Source organism: Homo sapiens, chromosome 2, assembly GCF_000001405.40.
Source record: "Homo sapiens chromosome 2, GRCh38.p14 Primary Assembly".
NCBI classification, from domain to species: domain Eukaryota; kingdom Metazoa; phylum Chordata; class Mammalia; order Primates; family Hominidae; genus Homo; species Homo sapiens.
In genome coordinates this window covers 200,958,708-200,972,466 of record NC_000002.12, presented here as the reverse complement: position 1 = coordinate 200,972,466, position 13,759 = coordinate 200,958,708, and the positions used below count along the sequence as shown (strand labels likewise).

General features: G+C 42.3%; 1 protein-coding gene and 1 long non-coding RNA gene across 12 annotated transcripts in view, besides 2 other annotated features; one reads left to right on the top strand and one right to left on the bottom strand.

The window, feature by feature from the left end:
• Positions 1-9,035, bottom strand: part of LOC105373835 (uncharacterized) — a 55,639-nt gene extending 46,604 nt beyond the window's left edge. For both annotated transcript variants that reach the window (NR_187976.1, NR_187975.1), the window contains exon 1: positions 8,837-9,035. This is a non-coding gene — a long non-coding RNA (uncharacterized LOC105373835). The remainder of the gene's footprint in view (positions 1-8,836) is intronic.
• Positions 8,398-8,796: a silencer, noted in NCBI's record as "fragment chr2:201828394-201828792 (GRCh37/hg19 assembly coordinates)". NCBI's record gives its function as "represses an EF-1alpha promoter that drives an FKBP-Casp9 reporter gene in an ReSE screen in K562 erythroleukemia cells {active_cell/tissue: K562}" and the evidence as "EXISTENCE:reporter gene assay evidence [ECO:0000049][PMID:32094911]".
• ORC2 (origin recognition complex subunit 2) overlaps positions 8,807-13,759 on the top strand; it is a 54,684-nt gene continuing 49,731 nt past the window's right edge. For 6 of the 10 annotated variants that reach the window (NR_033915.2, XR_002959301.2, NM_006190.5 and 3 more), the window contains exons 1-2: positions 8,807-8,977; positions 13,027-13,075. The gene's annotated coding sequence lies outside the window, so the exon portion shown is untranslated. Of the gene's footprint in view, positions 9,419-13,026; positions 13,076-13,759 lie in introns of all 10 variants that reach the window. The other 4 variants (XM_006712555.5, XM_047444569.1, XM_011511253.4 and 1 more) reach the window with 4 other exon arrangements.
• Positions 9,505-9,574: an enhancer, noted in NCBI's record as "active region_16969". NCBI's record gives its function as "activates an Ori minimal core promoter by ATAC-STARR-seq in GM12878 lymphoblastoid cells {active_cell/tissue: GM12878}" and the evidence as "EXISTENCE:reporter gene assay evidence [ECO:0000049][PMID:35858748]".

Genomic DNA, 13,759 nt, shown 5'->3' with positions numbered 1-13,759 from the left:
TGTGATATTAATAGAATAGTGGAGGCACTTTATATACACACACACACATACATACATACATACACACACACACATACACACTATCCCCACACATACAACTCTTGTCCAGGTAAGTCACAGTATTTTATGGTACAAAGATTCTTCCCATGTAAATTAAACAATAACTAACATTATTGGGTGCTTAGGATGTGCCAGGCACTATTCTAAACACTTTAAAGAAAATGCAGTCATTCATTTAATACTCAGTACAACAGCATTAGATAAGTACTATTCTTCTTTTATGAGAAAAGTAAAGTACAGCTGTCCAAAGTCACAGAGCTAGTAAGTGGAAGAGCTAACATTGAACATAGACACTCAGGCGAATGCACTTGTGAACTTAAACATCGTAATATACTGCATAATTGCATTGATTGTTCTCAACTATTAGTACACTTGCCAAGCACCTACCCCAGAAAGCCAGTCCCCCTGTGAAGGACGGGAAGAAAGGGAGGGGTTGGATCTCAACAGAGCTAGATTGCTAATAGGCAAACTAAATCCATGAAAGAATCAAGCCCTAACATCCTAAGTATCCACAGTTATAAGTTAACTTCTCTCCTATGTAATATACAGTGGTTCTTGTGTACCATCCTGAGGGAAAATGAGAAAATAGTCTTTTTGTGGTTCACGTAAGGAAGCTCAGTTGAGAAAAGCTATTTTACAGCATAATAAAGCAGAAGAGACTGCCAAAATATAAAACTTAAAATTATATGACAGTTCTTCCTATGACCCTTCCCATCCACACAAAAAAGCTGCTGGGTAGCATGGGAGGAAAGCAGAACTTTGTTGGGCTGATGACTATGTTATGATTTAATGTTAAATTTTTAAGTACCTGAGAGAGGGCAGACGTATAGTCTTTCGTGTTTAGGATATGTAAAGGTCTTTATCTGGCCCGGGGTGATAATCCAAATGGGATAGATATAATCTGTGATAATAGGCCGGGCACAGTGGCTCATGCCTGTAATCCCAGCACTTTGGGAGGCCAAGGTGAGTGGATCGTCTGAAGTCAGGAGTTCGAGACCAGCCTGGCCAACATGGTGAAACCCTGTCTATACTAAAATTAGCTGGGTGTGGTAGCGCACCCTTGTGATCCTAGCTATCCTGAGGCATGAGAATCGCTCAAACCTGGGAGGCGGAGGTTGCAGTGAGCCAATATCGCACCATTGCACTCTAGCCTGGGCGACGGAGTGAGACCCTCTCTCAAAAAAAAAACCAAAAAAAAAAAAAAACAGAAACAATGCTAATAGTCTCAAAACAAAACACTCATATTCAATAGGCTTTTTATTTTATTCTCTCCAATATTCAGTAGGCAATTCCCCAAACATAGGCTTTCTTCACTTCCTCCAAGTAAAATTACAGAATGTTAAGAAATCTATATATATTTCCTTTATTCACAAATGTTACACTGACTTTATACACACTGTAAAACGCAGAATTTTGTTTGTTTGTTTGCTGTTTTTTTTGAGACGGTGTCGCCCAGGCTGGAGTGCAGTAGCATGATCTCAGCTTACTGCAAGCTCCGCCTCCCGGGTTCATGCCATTCTCCTGCCTCAGCCTCCCGAGTAGCTGGGACTACAGGCGCCCACCATGATGCCCGACTAATTTTTTTTTTTCTGTTTTTTAGTTGAGACGGGGTTTCACCGTGTTAGCCAGGATGGTCTCCATCTCCTGACCTCGTGATCCGCCCGCCTCGGCCTCCCAAAGTGCTGGGATTACAGGCGTGAGCCACCACGCCTGGCCAACTCAGAATTGTTTTCAAAAACTAATTCCCATTATTGTAATTACTCTGTGTACGTTTTTTTGTTGTTGTTGTTGTTGTTTTTTTTTTTTTTTTTGATATGGAATTTCGCTCTTATTGTCCAGGCTGGAGTGCAATGGTGTGGTCTTGGCTCACTGCAACCTCTGCCTCCTGGGTTCAAGCAATTCTCCTGCCTCAGCCTCCCAAGTAGCTGGGATTACAGGCGCCCGCCAACATGCCCAGCTAATTTTTATATTTTTAGTAGAGACGGGGTTTCACCATGTTGACCAGGCTGGTCTCAAACTCCTGACCTCAGGTGATCCACCCACCTCGGCCTCCCAAAGTGCTGGGATTACAGGCTTGAGCCACCACACCCAGCCCTCTGTGTACATTTTTAAGGATTACTGTGTCAAATCTTTCACTACTTATTTGATGATGTCATCTCGTGTCCTCACTGACTGCTTTACCATCCCTGGTACAAAAAAAATTATCTTGGAGGTTTTGGCTGCCATATTCTCTTTTATTACTAGATACTCAGATATAATCACTTTTCCTGAGCATGACAAATCAATTTGACATATAAAAAAATTTCAGGGTAGAAGTTATTTGCTGAGGCATCTGCCACTGACATTCTAGATCTATTGAAACTTTATCAAGTGTGTGTTTAACATACATGATCTAGGCCACTGCGTATCTCACAAAAAATTTTATTGCCAATTTTTAATTGTCTCTAGCTCACTGGTTCTCAGCCCTAGCTTCACATTAAAATCATCTGGCCAACTGGGCACAGTGTCTCACGCCCGTAATTCCTGCACTTTGGGAGGCCGAGGTGGGTGGATCACCTGAGGTCAGGAGTTTAAGACCAGCCTGGTCAACATGGTGAAACCCTGTCTCTATTAAAAATAAAAAAGAATTAGCCGGTTGTGGCGGTGGGCGCCTGTAGTCCCAGCTACTCTGGAGGCTGAGGCAAGAGAGTCACTTGAACCCAGGAGGCGGAGGCTGCAGTGAGCCGAGATCGTGCCACTGCACTCCAGCCTGGGCAGCAGAGTGAAACTCTGTCTCAAAAAAAAAAAAAAAAATCATCTGGGTAATTTTTTAAAACAATTCTGATGACCAGGCCCCATGCAGACTCTCTGGGAGTAGGATCTGGCGTCACATAGTTCTCAAAGATCCCCAGCTAATTCTCATGTGCAATCAGGATTGAAAATTCTCTTTAATGCTATACCAATCTTTGGCATAGGTAAGCTTTCTCTCTTCTGTCCAGAACCTGACTCAATAATAAATTTTTCCTAGAGAAACACCTAGTATAGTAACTGACAATACAAGAAAGAAGTATCATTAACCCATTCCATAAATATACCTCCACCCCAAAGAATAGACCCATCCATATTAATGCTTTAGTCTGCCTTCTCTATTCCCTAACTCAGGCCACTGAACACTGTAGGTGTTAATACATTTTCAATGGACCCTTGTACTTCTTGGCCTGTCCCCTTTCTCATTCCCTTTAGTTTCTATTCCGCAGCTTCAGCACATAAAGTATCACTTTCTCAGCAGCCTCAACTCTTTTTCTATGAAATGGAGGCCATCATGCTAGAATAAATATGCTTAATTTCCTGTTTCCCACCACCACTTCAAAGTTCTGAACTCTATCTGTAACTATCCTTATCCCCTTGCTGCCTGTCTCAAATGAGAGGTATCTCACATTATTTCTTATTTTTCTCACACTCCCTGCACAGTTCTCATTTTCGCCACTTGGCTTAAATCTATAAACGGATGACCCTAGATCTGTATCTCTAGGCCTAGACCTCTTGAATGTTAGACTTTTAAATCCAACTGGCTGCTGGATAGCTGGATATCTCTCAGGCACTTCAAAGTTAAGATGCTTTAAACTAAACTCATCTACCTTTTTCCTCTATCAGTAATCTCTCTCTCACATCACACCAATAAACTAATCCAGGCAACCAAGCCAGAAACCTGAGAATTATATCTCCTCTCTCCCTCACCTCTATTATCCAGTCTCCAAATCCTGCTGACTGCCCCCTTTTTTTTTTAATTAATCCTTCCCATCTTTACTACTACAGCACAAACTCATATCCTCTTCATATCGACTGCTTCAATAGCCTCCTAACTAGACTCCTTGCCCTTAAATTTATCCTCCTTAGTGATGGATATTAAATGCTTATCAGTGCCCTGGTTAAAATTATCCAGTGGTTCCAATATAGGGGATAAATTCCATGTTATTTAGCCTGCATACAAGGCCCTGTGGCCTACTTCTACTCCATCTCCTATCATTCTTAAGTAACAACAAAGTGCTTTGTACTACCATACTCATTTGCACAATCACACCCTTTGTCCTTTGTACTGCCACACCCAGTTTGTACTTTCTTCCTGAAATCTCTTCTCCAGTACTTTCTCTTTTGCTTAAGTCTACTTGTCTTTTGAAATTGGATTGGCCGTTCCTCTGCTATCCCCCAACCCAACCCCTAGATTAAGCTAAATGGCAGTTGTCCTTGTAGTTCTCAGTACACCTTTTTGAATTTTTGTGTTTTTTTTGGTACAGATGGGGGTCTCCCTATGTGCTCAGAGTGACCTCAAACTCCTGGGCTCCAGTGCTCCTCTCGCCTCAGCCTCCCAAGCTGTTGGGACTACAGGTGTCAGCCACTGGGCCCAGCCTACACCCTTTTGTGTTGAAATTATCTGATTCTTTCTACCGAACTAAATTCTAAATTCCTTAAGGGTAAGGGCCATACCTGGGCATTATGCCCCTGGTTGAGGTAGGGGCTCAAAAATTTTATTAAATAAACTGTTCAAAGACCCAGGGAGAAAATGGATTTTTTTCAAGGAGCAATAGCATCAATATGAAGCTTTTCACGATACTGGCAAAGACAAAAGTTAACTGAGTTTCCCAAACTTAGGAACCAATATAAATGTATCTTAACTTGTTCATAAGACCTACTTAGTTCTGGTTGCTTAATCTAGATCTCTCACAGATATCTATACAGCTATTTAGATTATATTTCAATTTGGAAGATATGAACTGAGATCATATTCTTGAATTTGATCAAGTAAAATATGGTTTCGGTAAAAAACCTTGTTTGAATATAAAAAAATTTAAAAAAAGATTTAATTTTTTAACTCAGTCATCTCCTTGAAGAAGAAATTTATAAAGATTCTGATTTTCTTCAGTGTGCTGACAGATGAGATCACAGGTGAAGAAAAATATAAGCTGCTATCATCTTGATTCTGCAGTCTATTTAAAAATTAATTAAAACTTTAAGAATTTTCTCCTTAAAGAATCTAAATTTGATGACTCACATTCCTTTTTACATTCCTTTTTTAATAGATATAAAATGTCAAGAGTTTATTACAGTTTTGAGTAAATTTTTCTCTGGGTTCTACATAGTATGTTTGCTCCTGCTTTATTTTTTTTCTTTTTCAGAGCTGAGGCTTTATTCCAAAGTTTGGTAATGCTAAAATTGATCAGAAGCTCAGCGTGCAGGGACTAGCTTATCAGCTAGTAGGTGTCAGCGTAGGTCTATATTAATAAACTGGCTTTTTCAATTGGGGCCTCCTCTCTTTTCTGATTAGCTTGCCTGAAAAAGTCTTTAAATTTAATGCCCAGGGGATATATGACTCATTGCCAGCGTTCTGGGAGCCAAGTAAGACGAGGTCCTGAGCTTATCCTCCCCATTTCAGTATGACCTCATTTCTACTCTCAGTTGTGCCTAGTGGTAGAGTCTAGATCCTCTCGGTTCACCTTATAATCTCCTGGTCCTCCACAAAGTATGACAGGAGATCTAGCATCTAATTGTTTCAAGACTCCCAACCAATCTTCAGTCTCAGCTTCATACTCCATTTTTTTTTCCAACCAATCCTCCAGTCTCAGCTTCATGCTTTTTTTCTTTTTCTTTCTTTTTTTGAGACAGAGTTTCGCTATAGTTGCCCAGGCTGTAGTGCAATGGCATGATCTCGGCTCACCGCAGACACCGCCTCCCGGGTTTAAGCAATTCTCCTGCCTCGGCCTCCCAAGTAGCTCAGGTTACAGGCATGCACCACCAAGCCCAGCTAATTTTGTATTCTTAGTAGAAACGGAGTTTCACCATGTTGGTCAGGCTGGTCTTGCACTCCTGACCTCAAGTGATCCACCTGCCTCGGCCTCCCAAAGTGCTGGGATTATAGGCATGAGCCACCGCACCAGACCCATGCTGCTTTTAACGTATTCCTGAGACTACCACCTGGAGTTCTGTGAAAGGAATAGGCTTCTTACTGGCTTCCCCCTTTCAGGCCTGGATTCCAGCTAACCAACTTATGTTAACCTGTTTTTCTATTCTGTTAATTTTATGTTTACTAACTTCAATAAAAAATTCTGATTATTATTTTACTGGTATTTAAAAAGTCTTCAATTCACCCTGTTTCATAGATTAGATTTTTAAAAGCCAGTCCCTAAATTTCAAACTATTACCCAATTAGCTGCTTGTGCCTCTACTCTTATAGTATTGAGCTTCTATTTCCCCCTTTGGAACAGTCTACTTGCCCTGCGCAAAATTTCCGTGAATACATGGGGAGTTGCCATTTTATGGTCCCCTCTGACTTCAGCTTCCTGCTGCTCCTAAATCCTGTGTCTCCATTCTGAAGGTATGGCTCTTTGTTTTTATCTTAGTGTCAACCTAAAAGCAAAACTCAGCTCCTTCCCTCTATTTTCCACACATATACCATAAAAACTACATCCAAACCCACCACTCACACCAAGGCCTCTGTGGTCTGTAGAAGCCTTTTTTCAAGATGTGAGAAGGAGAGGAATGAAGGGGAGTTTACTGACATCATAGAAATATAAAAAAACAGCCAGGTGCAGTGGCTCACACCTGTAATCCCAACACTTTTGGAGGCCGAGATGAGTGGATCACTTGAGCTCTGGAGTTGGAGACCAGCCAGAGCAATATGGTGAAACCCCCACTCTACAAAAAATACAAAAATTAGCCGGGTATGGTGGTGTGCGCCTGCAGTCACAGCTACTCAGGAAGCTGAGGTGGGAGGTTTGGTTGAGAGCAGATAGTCGAGGCTGCAGTGAACAGTAATGTTGCCACTGCACTCCAGCCTGGGCGGCAGAGGGAGACTGCATCTCAAAAAAAAAAAATTATATATATAAAAAACACACATAAGTTGAACATATCTATTCAACATTCCTAGATCTTCATCTTTTTTTCAAATTTCTTTTCTTTTTTAAGAAATGGGGTCTCGATGTGTTGCCCAGGCTGGAGTGCAGTGGCTATTCACAAGTGAGATCACTGCTCACTGCATCCTGGAACTCTGGGATGCAAACAATCTTCCTTTTCTCAGCCTCACAAGTAGCTGGGATTACAGGTGTGTGTGCTGGGCTAGTCATCTTCACATTTTTAAACACTCTTCAAACACATCATTGTTAACTGTTGAGCTATGTTCTCTTTATCTTCTGTCTCTAGTCACTCCCCAAATTCTTATTTATAATGCACAAAAAATTGCCTTTCTCTTCCATTTTCTTAACTCCACCTAGCCAAAATGGAATAATGAGGTATCAAGGCTATGATCATTTCTTTCTCAACTGGATTTCCTAAACAGCTCCCAAATCTTGTGACTCTATATCTTCCCTCCCAATCCTACCTCCTTTATCCAAAGATCTTTCAATACAAATCTGACCAGTGCCCTAAGGGCCAACTAAGCCCTTCATAATAACAGACCCAATGCTTGGCATTTTACACAGCTGTTACACGGATTTGGACCTTCTACCTGGAAAATTTTACCCCTCTTGGCCTGTTTTAAATCTATTCAACACAGGGGTTTCAGTTTAAACATCTCTTCCTCCTAGAAAATTGTTCCTGACTCCTTCTGGGCTTTTAATTAGCTACTCCTACCATGTGCTCCAATGCACTTCCCATATCATGGTATTTTTCTCAATATTGTCCGTTCAATATCTTCACGTGCTAGGTAACTACAGTGAATGCAGAGATCGTAGTTGTCTCGCTCGATAATGAATACTTATCTTCTGTTCGCAGAGTACTCTGTAGTTTTGTTTTGAGTAAGTGAATCCAAATGAAACAATACCCTGTTCTTAATACTGTATGGATCCCATCCAGGTTCATTCCTTTTCTTCCTCATTTTCTCTGTCTTGTCTTTTTTATATTTTGGATAGTTGAAGTCAATCATTTTCTCTGTCTATTCATTCTATTTCCCCAGCCTCTTCATCCCACTAGCCGTCCGATCCCATCTCCATATTCAGTGCTTCTCCTAACGTCTCTTCTTCTCCCTACCCCAAACCCTGGAGATGTACAAGATCCTACCTTTCACGCCAAATGAAGAAAATCTTTAAAAAAGAAATGCGAATCAATTTCCATTACCTTTTTCTTCAAAAGGTAGCTGGGAAACCAATGAACACTTTTTTTTTTTTTTTTTTTTTTTTTTGAGACGGAGTTTCGCTCTTGTTGCCCAGGCTGGAATGCAATGGCTCGATCTCGGCTCACTGCAACGTCCGCCTCCCGGGTTCAAGCGTTTCTCCTGCCTCAGCCTCCCGAGTAGCTAGTATTACAGGCATGCGCCACCACGCCCGGCTAATTTTGTATTTTTAGGAGAGACGGGGTTTCTCCATGTCGGTCAGACTGGTCTCGAGCTCCCGACCTCAGGTGATTCGCCCGCCTCGGCCTCCCAAGGTGCTGGGATTAGAGGCGTGAGACACTGCGCCCGACCCCAAAGAACACTTTTTAAAGATTGCTACAAGACAAACAGCTACCACTCAGCCAGCTACTGTGCAAACTTCCTCAGATCCAAACAACACTTCCTTTTCCCTTCCCCGGAAACGGAAAGAAGAAAGGAAAGGTAAGGCCCACAACTCAGGGCCCAAGAATCCGTTTTCCTCAGGTTTCCTGATGGGCGGGGCCGAATGGCCGGCGCCGACTGGACGGCAGAGCCGTCGCTCTTGGCCGACTCCTCTTCCTATTGGCTTCCTCGGGCACCGCCCCCTGAACAGGGCGGGAGATTCGGTGTGCCGCACGCAGGCTTCCCATCCCCCAGCTGGCCTCCGGTGCTCCTTACCTCCCCGGTGGTCGGGCGCGAATTACTGGAAATTGGCTTTTCCCGTTGGGGCCGAAGGTACCTTCCCTGCGGCGGCGACTCAGCGGGGTGTCGTTCGGCCGGCGTGACGCAGCCGGATCGGCGCCAGACGGAAACCTAGCGGTGAGTAGTGGGGTGTCGGGGCAGCCTGCCTCCCTTTTCTGCTTAGCTCGCGGCGTGTGAGGTGCGTCCAGGTGCACCCAGCCCCGCGTCGGAGCTTGGCCCCTAGCGTCCCAAGTCGCGCATCTCAGGACTTTCCCTCGGCACTTGGGGCATGGTCTTTGCGCCTCGCTGCCCCCCGCAGGCTGCCCGGGGGCTCGAGAACCCTTACTGGTGGAGCGCAGCCAACTGGCCAGAGGCTGGAGGCGCAGGCCAAAGTCCTTTAAGACTTGAGGTGAGAGGCTCACTCTGGGAGGACCTTTCGTTAGTCTGCCCCGCAGTTATAGGCCTTTTGTGCAAGGGACGCCTGATACTAACCTACCTGATTCCCAGCTTACGAAGCCCTCTGGTTGGAAAAGGAGAACTGTGAAGATGTGTAACGACAGTGGTAAAGTGCCCTGTGAGGTATGAAGAGGAAGAGATCGCGTCCCAGAACCACTGTAGCTAGAACCTTTGATGTCATCCCAGCCTGGAGGCACCAATGTGTCCTGCCAGCTAACTGATCGGTCACCTTGGAGCCATGCTTGGCTGTAAAATGTTGATAAGCCAGGCTCTTTTGGTAGAGCTTTTTAATTAAAAAGATGTTGAGACGTTACTTTTCATTTTACAATTGAAATCCTAATAGAATCATTACACTTTCCCGCAGTTAAATTGCAATCTGAAGAAAAATAGCACGGCCCTACACCGTTATATAAGGGCACTGCACGTTAAACGGACATCATCACTTATTGAGCAGTTTTTCTGTTAGATGTTGAATGAGTTAGAGATGTACAAGAGATCTGCATGGTTAAGTTGAAGTTTAAAGTAAAAATATCTCAGTGCACTGCAGTAAGGAGCTAAAAAAGAAAAAGGTTAAAGTAAAAATACCGATAATTGGGAGCATTCAGTGATGCTCTTTTATATATCAGGCACATCATTTCATTTAATCGTCAGGACTTTGGACAAAGTCACACAGTTATAAAGTATGGAGTGGAGATTGGAACTCAGGTTTCTCCAATATTAAAATTGGTGTTTAACCACTAATCTATCCAACCTTCTTTTTCAAAGGATTATGTTTTTAAAAATTACAGCAAATCTTTTATTTGTTTTCAAAGGAGAGTGTGTTGCTACCACTTGGTGCAATGCTAACACTTGGTGCTGCAGAATTGCCTTGAAGTAACTCCTTGAAAGGGGTTGGCCTATAAGCACCAAGGCAGTGCCTTGAGGGGTCATAATGGTCACTAAATATTGCATTTTATTGTGTGATTGTTAGGTTTTTTTGTTCGTTTGTTTTTCAGGAACTGTTGGAAAGCAAAGAAGGAAACGTTTCTCATGAGGTCTTTGTAGACATTTTCTTTAATTTGGTGATTTTGTACTATTTAATAAGATGCTCCAAAATTAGAAAAGGAAATGTTTGTATAAATGCACTTGGCTACAAACAAGTCTCAGGCTGCCTCTCTCCAGGCAATTCTTGTGTAGAATACCATAGGGAAATTGCCTAGGACAATACTCAGTTGCCTAGAATATTTGTTTTTAAATTTTCCTAGAAAATCTTGTCCCCACATCCCCAAGAACAACTAAACTTTTGCCAATAAGAATTACGTAACCGACCTTTACTTGCTTTTTGCTTTGATTGCCAGGAAGCTCAGAGCCAAAAATTCATTGTGTGATTTTATTTTCTGCTTTCCTTTATATTTTTTCTGATGCAGACTCCCTATTAGCATTTATAAATTATAATTTGTTTTATTGCATTTGCTCATTGTCACTGCTTCAAATCCTTTGTAGTACACAGCAGTGTATAATTAAGTAAAATAATGTAGATTATGCTGACTCTGGCCATGCTCTTTGAAGTATGCTTGATAGAACTAGTGATGTTTCACCCAATGAACTGGAAAGTTAGAGAAACTTTCCAGTTTGGACATTCTATAGTTACCTGCTATAGAATACCCTAACCCTAATTGACATGTAGAGAAATAATTAGACCTATTATGAATGGTTTTCAGAGGTCAAAACAAGCATTTAGCGTCCAGCACAGTGGTTCACACCTGCAGTCCCAGCACTTGGGGAGGCTGAGGTGGGCAGATTGCTTGAGCTCAGGCCAGCCTGGGCAACATGGGGAAACCCCGTCTCTACAAAAAAATACAAAAATTAGCAAGGCTTGGCATTGCACGCCTGTAGTCCCACCTGTTCAGGAGGCTGAGGTGAGATGTTGCAGTGAGCTGAGATCGCACCACTGCACTCCAGCCTGGGTGACAGAGCTGAATGACCCTGTTTCAAAAAACAAACCCCACAAAAACAAAAAACCCAAAACAACAAAAAAACCAAGCATTTATGATAACATTTTTATTTGATGGCAGGAGAGGTATGTGGTGTAATAGAGTGGTCAGGAAGTTAGGAATCTGCCAGGTGCAGTGGCTTACACCTGTAATCCCAACACTTTGGGAGGCTGAGGTGGGCCAATCACGAGTTCAAGAGATCGACACCATCCTGGCCGACATGGTGAAACCCCATCTCTACTAAAAATGCAAAAATTAGCTGGGTGTGGTGGTGCACACCTGTAGTCCCAGCTACTCGGGAGGCTGAGGCAGGAGGATCTCTTGAACCCAGGAGGCGGAGGTTGCAGTGAGCTGAAACTGAGCCTCTGCACTCCAGCCTGGGACACAGCCAGACTCCATCTTAGAAAAAAAAAAGAAGAAGTTAGGATCAGTCCGAAGTGAATTTCAACCCTAATAGATTTATAATTGTGTGTATTTGCATTAATAATTCAATGAGTTATTAATATTTAATGAGTTGACCTCAGTTTACTCATTTGTAAGTTGGGGACATTATATATATAAAGAGAGAGATGCAAAATACCTAAGTCAGAGAATCTGAGGATTTAATGAGCTGGTGTACATAAATGTGCCTAATACAGTGCCTCACAAACAGCCCCTTAAAAAACCTGTTGCTTTATTTTATACAAATATTACATAAATGGGTTAAACTTTTTCTCTAATACACCCAGTTTCCCCATAATAGGAAACAGTATTATGACTAGAAAAATGGCCCAAGAGGACATGTTTTACAAGCAATGGTCATAAGTTATAGATGAAGTATTTATTATCTTTATTTTTTATTTTTATTTTTAAAATTTTTCCTTCATATCACAGCCAAGTCCACAATTTTTTGTTGTCGTTGTTGTTTAAAAAAATTTTTTTGACCTGGTGTGGTGGCTCACTCCTGTAATCCCAGCAGTTTGGGAGGTAGAGGTGGGTAGATCGCTTGAGCCCAAAGGTTTGAGACAAGCCTAGGCAACATGGTGAAACCTCATTTCTACAAAAAATACAAAAGTTAGCTGGACGTGGTGGCAGAAGCTAGTAGTCCCAGCTGTATGGGAGGCTGAGGTGGGCAGATCACCTGAGCCCAGGAGGTTGGAGCTGTGGTGAGCCAAGATCATACCACTGCTCTAGGTGACAGAGCCCAGACCCTGTCTCAAAAAAAAAGAAAAAAAAATTAGAGACAGAGTCTCACTCTGTTGCCCAATCCGAGTAGACTATAGGCACATGCCACTACGCCCAGCTAATTTTTTTTTTTTTTGGTAGAGGCAGGCCTTACTGTTGCCAGGCTTGTCTTCAACTCCTGGCCTCAAGGGATCCCCCTGCCTCAGCCTCCCAAAGCACTGAGATTATAGGCATGAGCCACTGCACCCAGCCCACTATTTATTATCTTTATACACAAAGTATGAACCTCATAGAGTTGTGCAGATTAAATGAGAATACATATGGAGTACTCAAAACTGTCTAGCACAATGTAAGTGCTCAAATTTTGTCCTCCTCTCTTCCCACTCCATCCAGATGTTCTCAGTATCTAGGGCTTCCTAGCCAAATCAGTAATGGTCTTTTTGTCCTTTACTATACCATTACAACAGCTTTGGCTTTGTAAGGTCTACATGTATCTATTCATCATGCTTGTTAAAACTTGTGGAACTTGTTTTTGCCCCATTGCTTTCATTTTTCTGCTAGCTGACCCTGACTGAGTTATTTTTCCAATTACAGGTGACTGTATCTGAATTTTGCAGCTGCAGAATGTGTAGTACCTTAAAAGGTAAATGAAAACTGAAAGAAGTCATTTAAGCATGTTGCTTGTCAAAATAAAACTTGGTAACATTGAATTAGTTTTCTTCCTGCAGTTAATGAACTCAGAAGAGATAAATGACTGTGGTGGTGGCCCATGCCTGTAAATCCCAGAGGTTTGGGAGGGTGAGGTGGGAAAATTGCTTAATTCCAGGAGCTCAGAACCAGCCTGGGCAACATAGTGAGGCTCCATCTCTACAAAAAAAGGAAAACCTGCCAAGCATGGTGGCATGTGCCTGTAATCCCAACTACTTCAGAGGTTGAGATGGGAGGATTGCTTGAGCCCAGGTGGTTGAGGCTGCAGCAACACAGTGAGACCCTGTCTCAATAAAAAAAGAAAGAAAAGAGAGACACAGTCAATAGTTTCTCCTGCCAAAAGAAAAGGTGAAAACAAGATTGTAAGAAAGAGAGAAGAGAAAAGAAATCACCAAGAACACTGAATCTTAGTTTACATTTTTTGGGTAAACTGATTAGCTGGCAGCAGTTAAAATCATCATTAGTTATTTTCAGGCCAGTAGCATAGTAAGTTCTGAAAGTTCATTTTGTGAGACTAGCCAGAGTTGATCAAACTTTTGCTTGCCAAACTCTGGAGGTTTGTTCAGTGAGGAACTGAGTGTAAAGTGTTCGAAAGATTTGTGTTTACTGTTTAGTTACC